The 13408-nt window shown below is 50.3% G+C and overlaps 1 protein-coding gene and 1 long non-coding RNA gene across 4 annotated transcripts in view, besides 2 other annotated features; both read right to left on the minus strand.

The window, feature by feature from the left end:
* The window catches only part of DLX6-AS1 (DLX6 antisense RNA 1), a 45551-nt gene extending 43205 nt beyond the window's left edge, over positions 1-2346 (minus strand). Inside the window, exon 1 of the long non-coding RNA NR_015448.1 lies at positions 2206-2346. This is a non-coding gene — a long non-coding RNA (DLX6 antisense RNA 1). The remainder of the gene's footprint in view (positions 1-2205) is intronic.
* On the minus strand, positions 8677-13112 carry DLX5 (distal-less homeobox 5). 3 transcript variants are annotated; one of them, NM_005221.6, is made up of 3 exons: positions 12550-13112; positions 10466-10650; positions 8677-9346 (listed from the first exon to the last, which is right to left on the minus strand). In NM_005221.6, exons 1-3 carry the CDS (start codon positions 12902-12904, stop codon positions 9017-9019), a joined length of 870 nt encoding a protein of 289 aa, NP_005212.1. In that variant the 5' UTR covers positions 12905-13112; the 3' UTR covers positions 8677-9016. The 3 variants fall into 3 exon arrangements, with proteins under 3 accessions (NP_005212.1, XP_005250242.1, XP_016867292.1); XM_005250185.4 differs by lacking the exon at positions 12550-13112 and adding an exon at positions 10814-10917; XM_017011803.2 differs by lacking the exon at positions 12550-13112 and adding an exon at positions 10742-10917.
* Positions 9224-10423: an enhancer, noted in NCBI's record as "CDK7 strongly-dependent group 2 enhancer chr7:96650255-96651454 (GRCh37/hg19 assembly coordinates)". NCBI's record gives its function as "activates an origin of replication core promoter dependent on BRD2, BRD4, P300/CBP, MED14 and CDK7 cofactors, with strong dependence on CDK7, by STARR-seq in HCT116 cells {active_cell/tissue: HCT116}" and the evidence as "EXISTENCE:reporter gene assay evidence [ECO:0000049][PMID:35650434]".
* Positions 12618-13334: an enhancer, noted in NCBI's record as "H3K4me1 hESC enhancer chr7:96653649-96654365 (GRCh37/hg19 assembly coordinates)". NCBI's record gives its function as "activates a minimal SCP1, AML or CMV promoter by ChIP-STARR-seq in naive H9 embryonic stem cells {active_cell/tissue: H9 hESC(naive)}" and the evidence as "EXISTENCE:reporter gene assay evidence [ECO:0000049][PMID:30033119]".

Raw genomic sequence — 13408 nt, forward strand, 5'->3', positions numbered from 1 at the left:
TCAGAAGTCAATAGAGATACTCAGAGTGCTCCATATAATGACAGCGACATACAGTCGTGCAAAAGGACAGTCACTATAATTAGACACAAAGCAAAGACTACTTACCAATATACCCGTTCCTTTTTTTGTTGAGCAACTTCCACGCTCAGTCAGTCTTCAGAATGGTTTAAAACCGATCAGTCTTGTCATTTTCTAGCATTCGCATTGTTACATTAGGAAAAATGTTTTCTTTTCTTTTTTCCCCCTTCCTACTGTGAAACTTTGGGTTCGTAGCTCCCCAGGATCAATTCTGAACAAAGCCTCCAGCTGCAGTGCCATCCAATTTGAAGCAGACATTGGGGACAATTTAAGGTTTTTATCCACAAGAAGGTTTTTTTCCATTCTCTTAAATGCAGCCATAATTAGAGTAATTTTTCATGTAGCCCGCTGATTACAGCGTTTTTACCGTCAAAGATAATTACCTGTAATTTTCTTCCACTTTTAATACTAAAAAGCCATCTTTATTTAGATTCAGGAACAGGAAAGGCGAAACAAAAGAGGGAAATTATTCTGTTATTCATACACAAATTGCAGAGACGTAGGACCTAAAATTGAAAATTAACCAAAATTATAATGCTGAAAAGAATGGAAGAGGCTGCAGAAGTACAGCTGGTAGTGGGGCTTTGCTGAATTATTCAAATTACGTTAGGGAGAATGCTACCATACATCGAAACCAACACTAATTTTTCGTTAAAAAAAATTCACCAGATGCATGCCAAACCACTGTGAGTGCATAACATTCTGAAACCCGGCAAATGCATGTTGACATATTCGAGGTGTTGTCATGATGCATTTGTATCTATCTCTTTATCTCTTAACAGGAGTTTAATTAAACAAGAAATTCTGCCAAGTAGTCCCCCCCACCCCAGACTGCCCTTGGAACTGGGCTTTCTCTGGATCCTCTGAACCTTAAGGGTTAATATTTTTACTCTTTAGAATGTATTGACCCTATGGTAAGCGGATTCCCGAGGGAGGGATTGGTAGGAGGGGCGTGGGCGAAAGGCATCGCCCAGTGGTGGTGCCTACGACGCCTCCCCACGTTCGGACTTCTCCAGAGGTTGCAGAGTTCGAGCTGTGGAGCCTAGTTCTGACCGTATTTCCTATTTAAAAAGAGATAAAGTGGGGGAGAGAGAGAACAATAGCTGGGGGTGGGGTAGAGGAGGGAGGGGATGAAGAGAACGATTTCTCTTTGGCACCAATAAACATCTCATTATCTTTTGACACAACTTAGTCAAAAGGTTTCTGCCGCCGGAGAAAGGCCTTTTTGCACTGGAATGGAAAACCAAAGATTTCTCAGGCACTTAACATCTCTAGTTGCTTACAATGTCTACACGGTCAGGAAACAGAGTCATCTATAGATAGAACAGCACCGCTTCTTGCTGGAGACTTCCTTGGTGCGTCCCTAAATCTGGGTTTTCTAGCTCCCTAGCTTGGTTCTGCGTCTCAGCCAATCATGCCCCTCCAACCCCAAGGTCGCAGCGTTTGTTCTCGGAGGGCAGTAACTCCAAGATCCGCATAGCCTCCCCCTCCCCCCCGCCCCAACACACCAGCTTGAGGCAAAGACCCTGAAAAGCAGCCTTGAAGGGGTTCAGAGGCCAGTTATTCCGGAAACCTTCCCCCAAGTGGAGGAAAGATGTCGAAGGGGCTTCACCGTCCAGAGATTCATCAGACTACACCTGCCTTTGCAAATGTCCGCATACCTGTGGTTCTAAAGGAGCCCCGTCGCGAGCTCCGTTTGATATCTTGTCGCCTCAAAATCTAAAATCATGGCCACGTGTAAAGACCTCTCTGGATTTACCTAGGATTAGCTGTGAATAATAATTTTCAAATAGATTTTAGCTTGGAATCTCCAGCAGAGTCTCTCCACACCTTATAGAAACATGGTACTTTTCGCAGGCTCCAGTCACAAGCTGCACCAAATACATCAACAACATAGAAAACAAGAAAGACAAATCGAATACTTAAGGATCCCATTCTCACTCGAATCCTTTCACTCAACAGAACAACAACCCTTTTTACTGTTAGAGGGGATAAAAGGTCAGCATAGAGAAATCTATAAAGCAAAGTTGTAGCCCATGATAAATTACAACGGCAACATGTATCTTGGAAAGTGTGAGAAGAGAAATAAGAACTGTTCCTTGAAGTATGCAAGAAATAAAAACTTACCCTCAGTGAATATCTCTTAAGCAATGATCAGGGTTTAGAAATCTATACTGAACCAAAGCACAGGAGAATATTTTTCTGAGTCTCAGGGCAGAAGCTCTTTCTCTATATTCTTGGTTGAGTGAGCACATCCAGGTGTGAAATTGTTTGCACACCCCAGCACCTCTTATATTGCCAGCAAAATTAGCTGTTATTACTGTCACTGTTTAGTGATGGTTAGCGTGGTACAAAAAAAAAAAAAAAAAAAAAAAAAACTGCTGTAATCAAGACCTGGCGCATCTTTGCAAATTACAGATAATTGTAAACGTCCAGATTATGATAATAGCATCCTAATCCAGCCTGCAATATAATTATTACAGAGTGTTACATCTGAAACTGTCCAGTAGGGCTAATTCAGCCATTATTTAGACCCTATTTTTGCACTGCAAATGGGTTGCTGAGCTGAAAATGTACGATTGTAATTTCACAGGGCACTCAATGAGTAATGGTATAGGAAGAGGAAAATACAAAAGTGAAATGTGAACAGTAGCGATCAAATCAAACCCTGAAGGACAAAAGACTGTTTGATTCATATGGAAAAAGAAGAGCGAGAATTAAGAAAATAGCAAATCAGTGGTCTGAAGCATTTCATGTCCAAATCTTCAATAGTGCAGGGCTGATGTGTTTGCAAGGGCTGCTGCATCTGCTGCTTGTCTGGAGTCTAAAATAATTTTTCTTTTTCTTTCTTTTTTCCAACCCCCTGTCTTTTTTTCCCCCTTCTCTCTCCAGAAACATTTTCCTGTTTTAAAAATGTGTCCCTCCCCCAAAGCAAAGAACATTTGTCAGTTTCACCATTGTTTCCACAAAATCGCCTGAGAGTGTGCCTGTCACTTGTTTATGAACATTTTCTTAAATGAATTTGCTGTCTCTCTTGTTATCCAAGCAAAATGCCCTTGGGCACTTGTGTTTCTGCCCTCTGTCTTCATTCTCTTTCAGCAGGAACTAAGTCATAGAATCCTAAAGGATATTAGCAGAAAACGTATTAATTGCTGCTAATTAAATATAGCCGGCTGGGAAGCTGTCTTCTCCAGTTGGCTTGGCTGGCTATTGGTTTTAATCCTATCATTAACTTTTATTAATTAACATTCCCCCCCCCCCATATAAACCAGTCCAGCTGCTGCTTTTGCTACCTGTCACCAATGTGCTAAAATGAGCAAGGTCAATCTTATTAAAATATAGGAGGACCAAAGAAGGAGGGAGTTAGAGCAAGAGAGGGAGAGTTAGAGCAAGAGAGGCTGGAGACAGGCTGGGGGACTATGCTGGTCCCAGAGTCAAAGAGCTCTAGGGGTTCAAGCTGTTTCTTCCAGGAGGATGAACCCTGCCCTGGTGGAGGGTTCTGGAGTCTAGTTCTGGTTCCTGGTGGGGACCTCCTAGTCAAAGATACCTAAAGCCCATTTATCCCCAGGAGCTCAATTTTCCCACCATGAATACAGAGAATTTCCTAGGCATCTTTTCTAGCCTCTGGGCCAATGTGTGTCGACTCTCCCTCCTCCCACCACTTCACAGACCCGGGAGCTGCCCAACCAGGGCCACCCTGCAGGATGGCAAGCAGGTTTCCTAGCTCTTGTGAATTTAAGGGCAATAATGAAATGTCCCCTGTTTAGTGACCCCTGTTTATAGATGAAAGTTGAGTCCATATCCTGCTCTTCCTCCGCCCCTCTTCCCTGACCTTGCAAATGGCAAGTGGCAGAAATAGTCCTGGATAACAATAAGCTTCCATTGGCAGGTTTCTGTCTTCTTGGTTAGCGAGAGAAAAAAAAAGCCTTTAAAATAAATCATAGCTTGGGAACTGTTTACCACCCTTCACCCTCACCCACTTCTTAAAAAAAAAAAAAACACTAGACTGCATGGTGAAGATCCCACAGAGAATCCTTACCGAAGCTAGGAGAGAGGGAGGGTATGTGTGTAGAATGATGTTATAAAGCCATTTTTTTCCCTTCCTGTGGTGAAAGGTCGTAATGTGTGGTATTTCACGGTTTTATATAAATCTTGGTTTAGGATGTGGAACAGACTCAATAATACATGTGCTTTTGGCAAAGAGACTCCTTCGGATCCCATAAATCAGAAGTAAATAAGAAGTCCAAGTGAACAAAAGAGCAGGAACATTTAATTGATGCAAAGCAGGACTCTCATCTGCTTTAAAGAGAGGTTCATGTAAATTCCCTCAGTTCCTATCTTCACGGTTAGAGCCCGACCTATAAAACAGGTTATTACATTACAGCCGGCAGCCTTGGATGATTGAAAGGAAAGGCTCCCCACCCCAAACACACACACACACACACACACACACACACACGCAATAGATACAATGTATACTTTCTGCCCTGAGGAATCTAAAGCCTGTCAGATGCAACAGAAAACGCTGGGGGTTGGCGCGGGGGGGAAGAGACAGGGCTGCGTAGAAAATATTTAACCAATCCCACATGTGCCACCGCTATTTGGGCTATTTTTAAGGCCCAGAGTTCGCTGCGACTGGGCTGAGGTTGAAAAAAACCAAGCACTGTGTGCAAAGACCGCGGGCAACCTGGGAGCGCGAGCCGAGGCCGAGAGCAAGCCGCAGCGCCCCCTCCCCAAGCTCTGGAGCGGCGGGAGCCTCCACCGGCTACTGTGGGAGGGGGTGCTTAAGGGTGGAGGAGCTGGGTGACCGCAGGCGGATCCGCCGGCGTGGCGAGCTTCCCAGAGGTGCCCGAGGGCGTCTGCCCTCTGGGTGTGCCTCCGGGAGGGCTAGAGAGCTCTAGGTTGGCAAGATCCCAGTGACCATTGGGAGGCGCGCGATCCAAGGGGTTGCAGGGATGGGGCGGAGAGGAGGGGCGGTTGGGTAGCCTAAAGGTCCCTCTCCCAGAATACAAGGAAGCGCTAAGAAGGAGGATGTGGGGGCAGTGTTCCAGCAGGCATCCCAGGCTCTTCCGGCTGGAGAGCTCAGGAGACTGAGCGGTGTCAAGGCTGGAGTGAGCTATAGGGTGCGCTGGGAGGAGGTGAGCGCAGCCTGGCTTTGGCGCGCTGTGGGTGACTCCCAGGACGGCGCGGCCAGGACGCCGCGAGCCGTGGGGCGTCCGGTGGGATCAAAGGAACCAGAGGAGGCCAGCCGACGCGTCTGGGATTGTGGGATAAGGGGCGGGAGAGAGGAGATTGACATGGGCGGGGAGATCCTGGCCTGGCCTGTGTCACCGGAGGGGGTTGTGTGCGTTTGTGTCTTTGTGCGGATCAACGCTCTCGGGCCTGAGGCCGTGCCCTGGGTGGATCCGAGTGTGAGTGGACAGGCTCCCGGGTGGGTGCCCAGACGGGAGGGAGAGCGAGCGAGCGAGATCAAGGGCAGCGAGGTCTGCGGGTTCCTCTGTGTGTGTGTCTCAGGCCCTGTGGCTCAGCACTGGAGCCGCCTGGCACCCACAGGAATGCGGCTTCTCTCGGATCCCCAGGCCGCCCCTTGTCCCACAAGGAGGTGGCCGCCAGGAAAAAGGGGGGAAAAGGGGCAGAAATCCGCCTAGCTCAACCCGAGCCTCAAACAAAGGCCAATTTATCTGATCTCTTACAGGATGGCCCAGGAGGTGGTCTGGGCACCGAAGAATCGCGCTGGCCCTGACCGCATGCCCCAGCCTTCCTGGGGTTTGTGAGGAGCTCTGAAGGTGGGGGTGAGGTGTTGTAAGTAAGGGGTGGGGAGTATGAAGACGCCCACTGAAAAGAACATTAATCTTAGAAAGGACTTGATTCGTCTTGGGAGCACTATACTGAGAGCTAGGCAAGTGGAAACCGGAAGGGGCAGGCAGAGGGGTCACCCAGTGCGATGTCAAGAGTGGGGCCGGCTGGTCCGGGAATATGCTGGGGAGTGGAGCACGTTTATATTCGACGTAGGAAAAACAATGGAGAGGAAGAGAAGGTGGAAGGGAGGGCAAGGGAGAGAAACATCACATAGATATTTTTAGACTTTGCTGAAGATCTGTTATTTTTACATCCTTGGGCTCGGGACGGCAGGGAGTTAAATTCCCCTGAGAGAATCCCCATGGGGCCAGGGAAAGCCCGCTGCAGACTGGTTTACCAGAATATTTTTGTCCACGGCTCCCAGACCAAGCTAAAAAATAAAAACCGCACGAGAGAAAAGGCCTTTGCGAGTGGAAGAAGTGAGGTTGGCACAAGGGAAGGAATCCTGAAACCAAGTCTGTGTCCGCGCGGCGTTGGTCTGGGCCACCTCGCAATGAGGCTTTAGTGATCTTAACGACAAGCAGCCTCAAAGCTAGGGTGGAGGAGTGGTCATTTAGAAAGAGCTTCCCTCTTTCTCTAGAAGAATCCGAACCCTCCCTTCCCTCAGCTCGGCCGCGCCCGGTGAATAGGGATGAGGAAGGGATCCCCCTTCTTTTCCACCAGTAATGGGGCTGGGGAGTTGATAGGGACAGCTGGAAAAATATCTGCCCTCTTTGTGTGCACAAAGGAAAACAGTATGTTCCAAGCACATTCTTGCCACTCACAGGCAGCCAGTAGGTGAGAAATATTGGAGGTGTGCAGTGGGTGCGCCCTCACCCCCAACCTTCCCAAACACGCACCCCTTGGCAGGGAGAGGCGTCCGCGCAGGGGAAAGCCAGGCGCTGGCACACCGCGGGCGCGGGTTTCTCCCAGTCGGAGTCGCCAGAAATAAAGCGCTAGCTCTCGGTGTAATGGAAACTCCCGAAATCCTTACAAGCAAAGAAAGAAAAGCAGGAAGTGGATATCTTCATCTCTTCCCCAATCCCCCTATTCTCTGTGAGCGCAGAAAACAAAATGGGGCACCCTTTGGCTTCCCGCCCCCCCCCCCGCCCCCCGCAAACCTTCCTATTGCCCCCTCTTCCCCGCACCCAGTGCTCCTTCCGAGAAAGTACGGCTGGAGCGGACTGGGGAGACGGAAATATTGAGTCGCGGCCGCTGGGGGTGCCGGAGGAGGGGTGCACAGGCCAGGCTGCCGGGCGTAGTTCTGCCTCGGAGCCAGGCTGCGGGATATGTCTAAAGAGCGGTCAAAATACTGATTCCTCCAAGAAGCAAGCTGTTCCACACTGGCGGGCCTGGTAACTCTTCTAGAAAAAAAGTAAAGGAGAAGAGAACGAAAAAAATAAAGGAGGTGGAAGGGAGGTAGGGAGAGAAGAGGAGGAGGAGGCAGGCAGAGAGACAGAGAAAATGAGAGAGAAAGAGAGAGAGAGAGGAGAGAGAGACGAGACAGAGAGAGAAACATGTAGGTAAGGTAAATTCCCCTCAAGGCACATAGCGTGCCTTTTCAGGTCTAGTCTCCCAACCCTGGAAGAGCCTTCTGAGAAATCCTCAGTGACAGGATATAATTTTTTATGCTCTAATCTACCCCCACTTTAAGAAGGCTCTTTTGTCACATTTATTGCTGCTGACTTCCTAGCTGTAAAATATTTCACATGCATCTTGTAATTTCCAACCCAACATTTTCCTTCGTATCCTAAGGAAAGAGAGTCTGGCCCACTGAAGGACGGCCAGACAGAAAGACACCTACAATTCAGGCCTGGGTCTTTAGGTGCAGTGCATAGCTCTGGTCATGCTGTTGGTATCTACATGCAGGAGTGCAAGAAGAAGGAAGGGACACAGGGCACAGCTGCAGCAAGTCCTTCCTCTCTGTCCCAAAGAAGGCTTCCCAAAGGAGAAATCCTAGTAAACAGATTCTATTTTGCATCATTTAGAACCTGTTTGCCACTGTTTTATGTAAAAGCAAAACAGAGGAAGCTCCTTCCTGAAAAAAGGAAGGCGGGAAGGGAAATATTAAGAGTATTATCTCACACAAAATGAAATCAACACGGCGCCACAATGCTTTCATTCCTTCCTTTCCCCAACCCTGAAGTTCCCTCTTCACAATATCTGCAATGTTTTCATCTCTCGAAAAGAGCCGATACATTTATAATCATACTCCAAAGAGTCCAAGGTTCTATCATTTGCCATGCTCCAAACATTTTAGATTTTTAAAAAATGTAATAGGTGTGAGGCTAGATTTCTTTTTCATTTTCTCATCTCTGGAAACTCCCTTTGAAGGGTAATTTGTCTAATTGCTCTGGCACTACACAGAGGCTGATGGGTGGGGGCGCTTCTCCAAGATAATTGCTTTGAGCTTAGAATTCAGAGGGGTTATTGAGGGATTTCTGTTGCCTTCTAACTCACATACAGGGTGAGAGGGATGTATTTTTATTTCAGCATTACTTTCTACCTGAAACAATTATGAGATATGGCAGTACTATAAACATGCCATATATATTATATATATATATGCACACACACACACAAAGTATAGCATTGAACATATATACATATACAGTCTGCATGCATAGAGCCCCGACTTCTGTTTTCTTTTTTGCCTTGTTGGATCTCTGCAGAGCTTGTCCTTCTTTAGTTGCCTTCAATAAAACTTCACTAGCCAGTTATCAGAGGGGCAGAATGAAGTATTTTTCAGAAACATTCCGCTTTTCATGGTCGAAATAATTTTATTTATCCAGAATATACAGTTTAATTCCTCTATCTACACTTATTTACATGGCTAAAATAACATTGAAAAAAGTCTTTTGAAAAGTTGAGGTCATAGATTTCAAGGCACCATTGAAAGTGTCCACAGTTGCGCAAAAAAAGTCCTCTGTAAAAAAAGGGGGGGTCTTTTGAAATGCAATAACTTACATGCAAAAAAAAGCTTTACACATGAATCTTTTTCAGTTTTCCGAACTTCCCCATATGAATTCCTTTCTTTATGATTTTCTAGAACAGCAAAACACAGTAGTCCCAAAAAAGAGAGTAAGAGAGAGCAGCCCATCTAATAGAGTGTCCCGGAGGCCAGCGCCAGCGGGTGCTGTAAGGAGCCCGGCGGCGGCAGGTGGGAATTGATTGAGCTGGCTGCACTTGTGTACCAGGATGCAGAGTTCTCCAGGTAGCTGGACGCTGGGGACTGGTTGGAGGTCGGAGGGTGGGCATGAGGGTGGTGGCTGAGCGAGCGGGACGAGCCCTGGGGCTCCCACACCGCTGGAGACTGCGGCGAGTTACACGCCATTGGGTCGCTGGAGCTGGGACTGTGCTCCGGGGGCATCTCCCCGTTTTTCATGATCTTCTTGATCTTGGATCTTTTGTTCTGAAACCAGATTTTCACCTGAGTTGGGGAACAAAGGCACACGTTACCGGGACACTCAGAGGTCGCCCGCGCCTTCCCCGGGGCGGCGACTGGAGGCATCTTCGGACCTCTGGGCGGCCCAGCCCTGCCTGGCGTCTCCCCGCCGCTTGCGGCCTACCGCCAAGAAGCTATGCCTTAGGCAAACCATGGAGCTCTGGCCCCAGAGGGCGCCCTGGCCGGCTCGGGGCGCCCCGGCCCAGCGAGGCCACGACCCCAAGGCTTGTCTTTTGTTTGGGCTGGGGGTGGGGGACGCCAGCGCGGCGGGTGTGCGCCCGAGTGTCCTCGGCGGCGGCGCGCCTCGTGTAAGCCTGCGCAGGACGCGCGGAACGCGGCGAAGGTCTCCAAAACAATCGCGCGAGCCCGGCGGGGAAGGGGCGTGGGGCGGGCTACGCGCGCCTGTGGTCAGAAAAAGGAGCGAGCTCCCAACCTCCCGTCCTACTCCCTTCACTCCCTCTGCAGCTCAGAGAGGCCAGAATCTGACTGCAGCTCTTGGCGGCGACTCGAACATTCTTTATGCTTCCGTAGGCCCCAGCTGGGTTGGAGGAGTAAAAGGAATGGGACAATCCAGGAAGACTTCTCACGTACAATAGCGCCCCCCACCTCGCGACCCTTCGGTGGCCGTGGCCTGAAGCTCCCGTAGGCTCAGGGCACGACCCTTCAGTTTCTCCGCTCCAGGCGACGTTCTCAGCCTTTTCTTAGCCTGAGACCACCGCGAGAACACCAGGCCTTGCTCACCCCCGAGGAGGCTCTACATTGTTAAGAAAACCAGATAGCTGCTCTGGGCTGCCTAGGCCGCCCTAGAAATAACCCTCCGCTTGCTTTCAACCCGCGAAATTGGCCCCACAGCTCCGGAGGCCCGCTACGGGGTGGGGGCGGGGGGCGCGGTTAGTGGGAGGTATCTCCAGACCGCTGATGAATACCATCCCCACCGTCTCAAGGCCTGACTCACCGAGTTAAAGCATAGGGGCTGATGTCTTTGGGTCTGTTAGTTTCTCACGGGTACTGTCAAAACAGCTCCAGTCCCATCGAGACTGAACCGCGCGACCCAACCAGACGTGCAGCTCAGGCAGGTCTAGTGCATGGCAGCGCCGTATTTACCTGTGTTTGTGTCAATCCCAGCGAGGCGGCCAGCTCGGCGCGTTCCGGCAAGGCGAGGTACTGAGTCTTCTGAAACCTTCTCTGTAATGCGGCCAGCTGAAAGCTGGAATAAATAGTCCTGGGTTTACGAACTTTCTTTGGTTTGCCATTCACCATTCTCACCTCGGGCTCGGTCACTTCTTTCTCTAAATAATCAAAACAGACTCAGTTAAAGCTTGTCACCAGACAATGCCCCTTTTGCGGAAGGGCCTCAAATAGAGTCCTAGAGTTTCTTACCACTCAGTCTTCATTCTTTGCCCATATCACCACCACCTTTGCTTTTCAGGACCGCGATAAATATGCACCTACCCCAAATATGGAAAAGCGGGATAGCCTCTGATTAATTCCTACTCTGTTCATTCAGATAGTTTGTGCAAAGCGCTTCCTACAACACTGCTTTCTCCTTGGCATCTGGGATTCAGCTCTTGCGGTCGTTGCTTCTTCTCCCGGACTTGTTTTTACGCCCACCCTGTGCTCCTCCGCGTTTCCGCCCCTCCCCAGGCTTCAAGAACACCAGCCCCTCCCCAGGCTTCAAGGAGGTGGCCCTGGGCCGTGACCCTACTTCTGTCGGCGTCTGTTCGGGCGCCCGCAGAAGCCAGACTCTTGGGCAGGGAAGACGCTAACCGAGGTCTCCAAAGTTCAAAGACCCACAAGCAAACTGCTCCTTCACTTCAGCAGCAAGCGGTCGGGGCCGCCGCAGACAGAGGGTCGATTATGCAACCCCCATAATCTCGCTGCAGATCTGCGAGGGCACAGATGTGTCTGGTTTCTTTTACAAATAGACTTAATATGTTCTTGGCAAAAAAAAAAAAAAAAAAAAGAAATCTTCCACTTATGCACGGAATACAGAGAGAGTGAAAGAAACGTAGACACCTCAACCCGGGGCTCTCTTTTAAAGTTCAGCAAGAGTCACACACTGAGAAGGAACCGGTGGTGGGGTGTTTTCGTAGGAAAGGGGCGGCAGGTCAGGATGAGATTCTCACTGTCATGAGTATGGGTTTGGGCGGGAGGGGGAGGGATTGCCAAACGCGTGTTGTACAAACCTGCCCTGGGGCTACAACTCCCCTTCCTCAAAACTACCACCCCTCTGGAACTGACGGAGAACCTCTCCAGGGTGTGTGTGTGTGTGTGTGTGTGTGTGTGTGTGTGTGTCAAGTTCCAGGGAGAAGTGTGGAGGATGAGGGCTGTGGTCTCAATTCTGCCAGAGTAGGGGATGCTAATATTAGCAGGATTATTAATGTGCTGGTGGGAAGAGATCAAACCTTACCAATAAAACCTCTCCGCCGAGCCTCATGCCTTTCTCTTACCGCCCAAGCTCACTAACCCTCTTAAACTCTCTAAGTAAGTTTCAAAGCGGACGAAAAAGGAGGACGGAAAGACAAATTGTGGGCGCCTATGGAGACAGAAAAAAAAATCTATCCTACAACGTGACCCCTCAGCAACCCTCCTCCACCTTTAAATGGCTTTTTGTTTTTGGAAATGCCTGGATAAACCGCAAAACTCTCGGCGCGCTCTTCTCTGGCTGGCTACAACTCCTTAACCCCCCCACCCCCACCCAGCGTGCTCAGGGCACCCGCACCGTGCTAGCTTGTGGCGGCTCTCAAACTAATCCTGACTGAGTTTTTGAGGCAGCCTTCTATTCCCACTCGCACCAACCCAGCACGCTTACCAAAATTCCCAAGTAACCTTCTCTTTGTTACGCAAACGCCAGGAGCTGCTTGATTCTTTCTTCTCTCCACCCCTATCCCCTTTCCAGCCTAGCCGGCTTCCTGGCCGGGCAAGCTGGGAATTCAGCGACTGAAGGGCCTTGGAAGGTGCCGGAGGGGAGAGACGCTAGTTCGAACCTCCACAGGGCTCTCCTACTAAAAATCCCTAAAATGCTGGCCCGAGAAACTCTCTTTGTTGGAGGGTCTGAGTCCTACTCCCTTCTGCCGCGTGCGCCCCCACTGCCGTGAACCGCTGTGACCCCCAATCTACCACCCCATCTCGCGCCCCCAGCGTCCTAGTCGCCCTGTATCTGCCCAGCCTTCCCCCTGTCCATGTACCTGGCTGGTTGGTGGCGCTTGGGACGCGGTTGTAGGCGCCGCCGTACTGGTGGTAGGAGCTAGCGTAGCTATAGTCGGCATAAGCTTTGGCTGGGTAGCTCCCGGCGGAGCCGTTCACGCCGTGATACTGATACTGGTAGGGGTTGAGAGCTTTGCCATAGGAAGCCGAGGTAGGAGAGCAGTAGCCGTGCGGGGCTCCCCCCGTAGGGCTGTAGTAGTCAGAATCGGTAGCTGAAGACTCGGGCAAAGTTGGCGATTCCTGAGACGGATGGTGCATAGCTGCGGACGTCTGGAACGGAGCTTGGAAGTCGCCGGATCGGATGCTGGGGACCCTTCTGTCAAACACTCCTGTCATCGCTCACGGGCGGCGGCAGCGGCTGTCCTTGCTGTTGTGGCGGCGGCAGCTGCCCTAGTTGGCTGTGGGGCTGCTCTGGTCTAAGCAGACATGGCTGTGGGAGCGAGGGAGGAGGAGGAAGAGGAGGAGGAGAGAAGGAGGAGGCGGCGGCCGCGGCGAGGAGGAGACTGGGAGTCGTGAAGTCTCTGTCTCCGGCCGGCTGACTGCTGGCTGAGGCGCAGCACAGCCTTGGTTAAATCCTTAATTGCGCGCTTACGCACAGCGGGGTGGATCTGGTTCTATTGGCCAGGGCCTCGGGAGCAACAGTAACACCCTAACTCGTCCAACTAGTTTTAGCACAACAAAGCATTGCTTAAAAAGGGGGTGGGGGGTACTGAGGGGGTGTGTGTGTTTGTGTGTGTGCGCGCCCGCGCGCTTGTGTGTGTTTTTGCTTGTTGTGGAGTGGGGAGGGGTCTTAGTCTATCTGTTTTTAGTAAATTCCAAAGACATCGCAGAAGCCACAGC

Source organism: Homo sapiens, chromosome 7 (assembly GCF_000001405.40).
Source record: "Homo sapiens chromosome 7, GRCh38.p14 Primary Assembly".
Classification (NCBI taxonomy): Eukaryota; Metazoa; Chordata; class Mammalia; order Primates; family Hominidae; genus Homo; species Homo sapiens.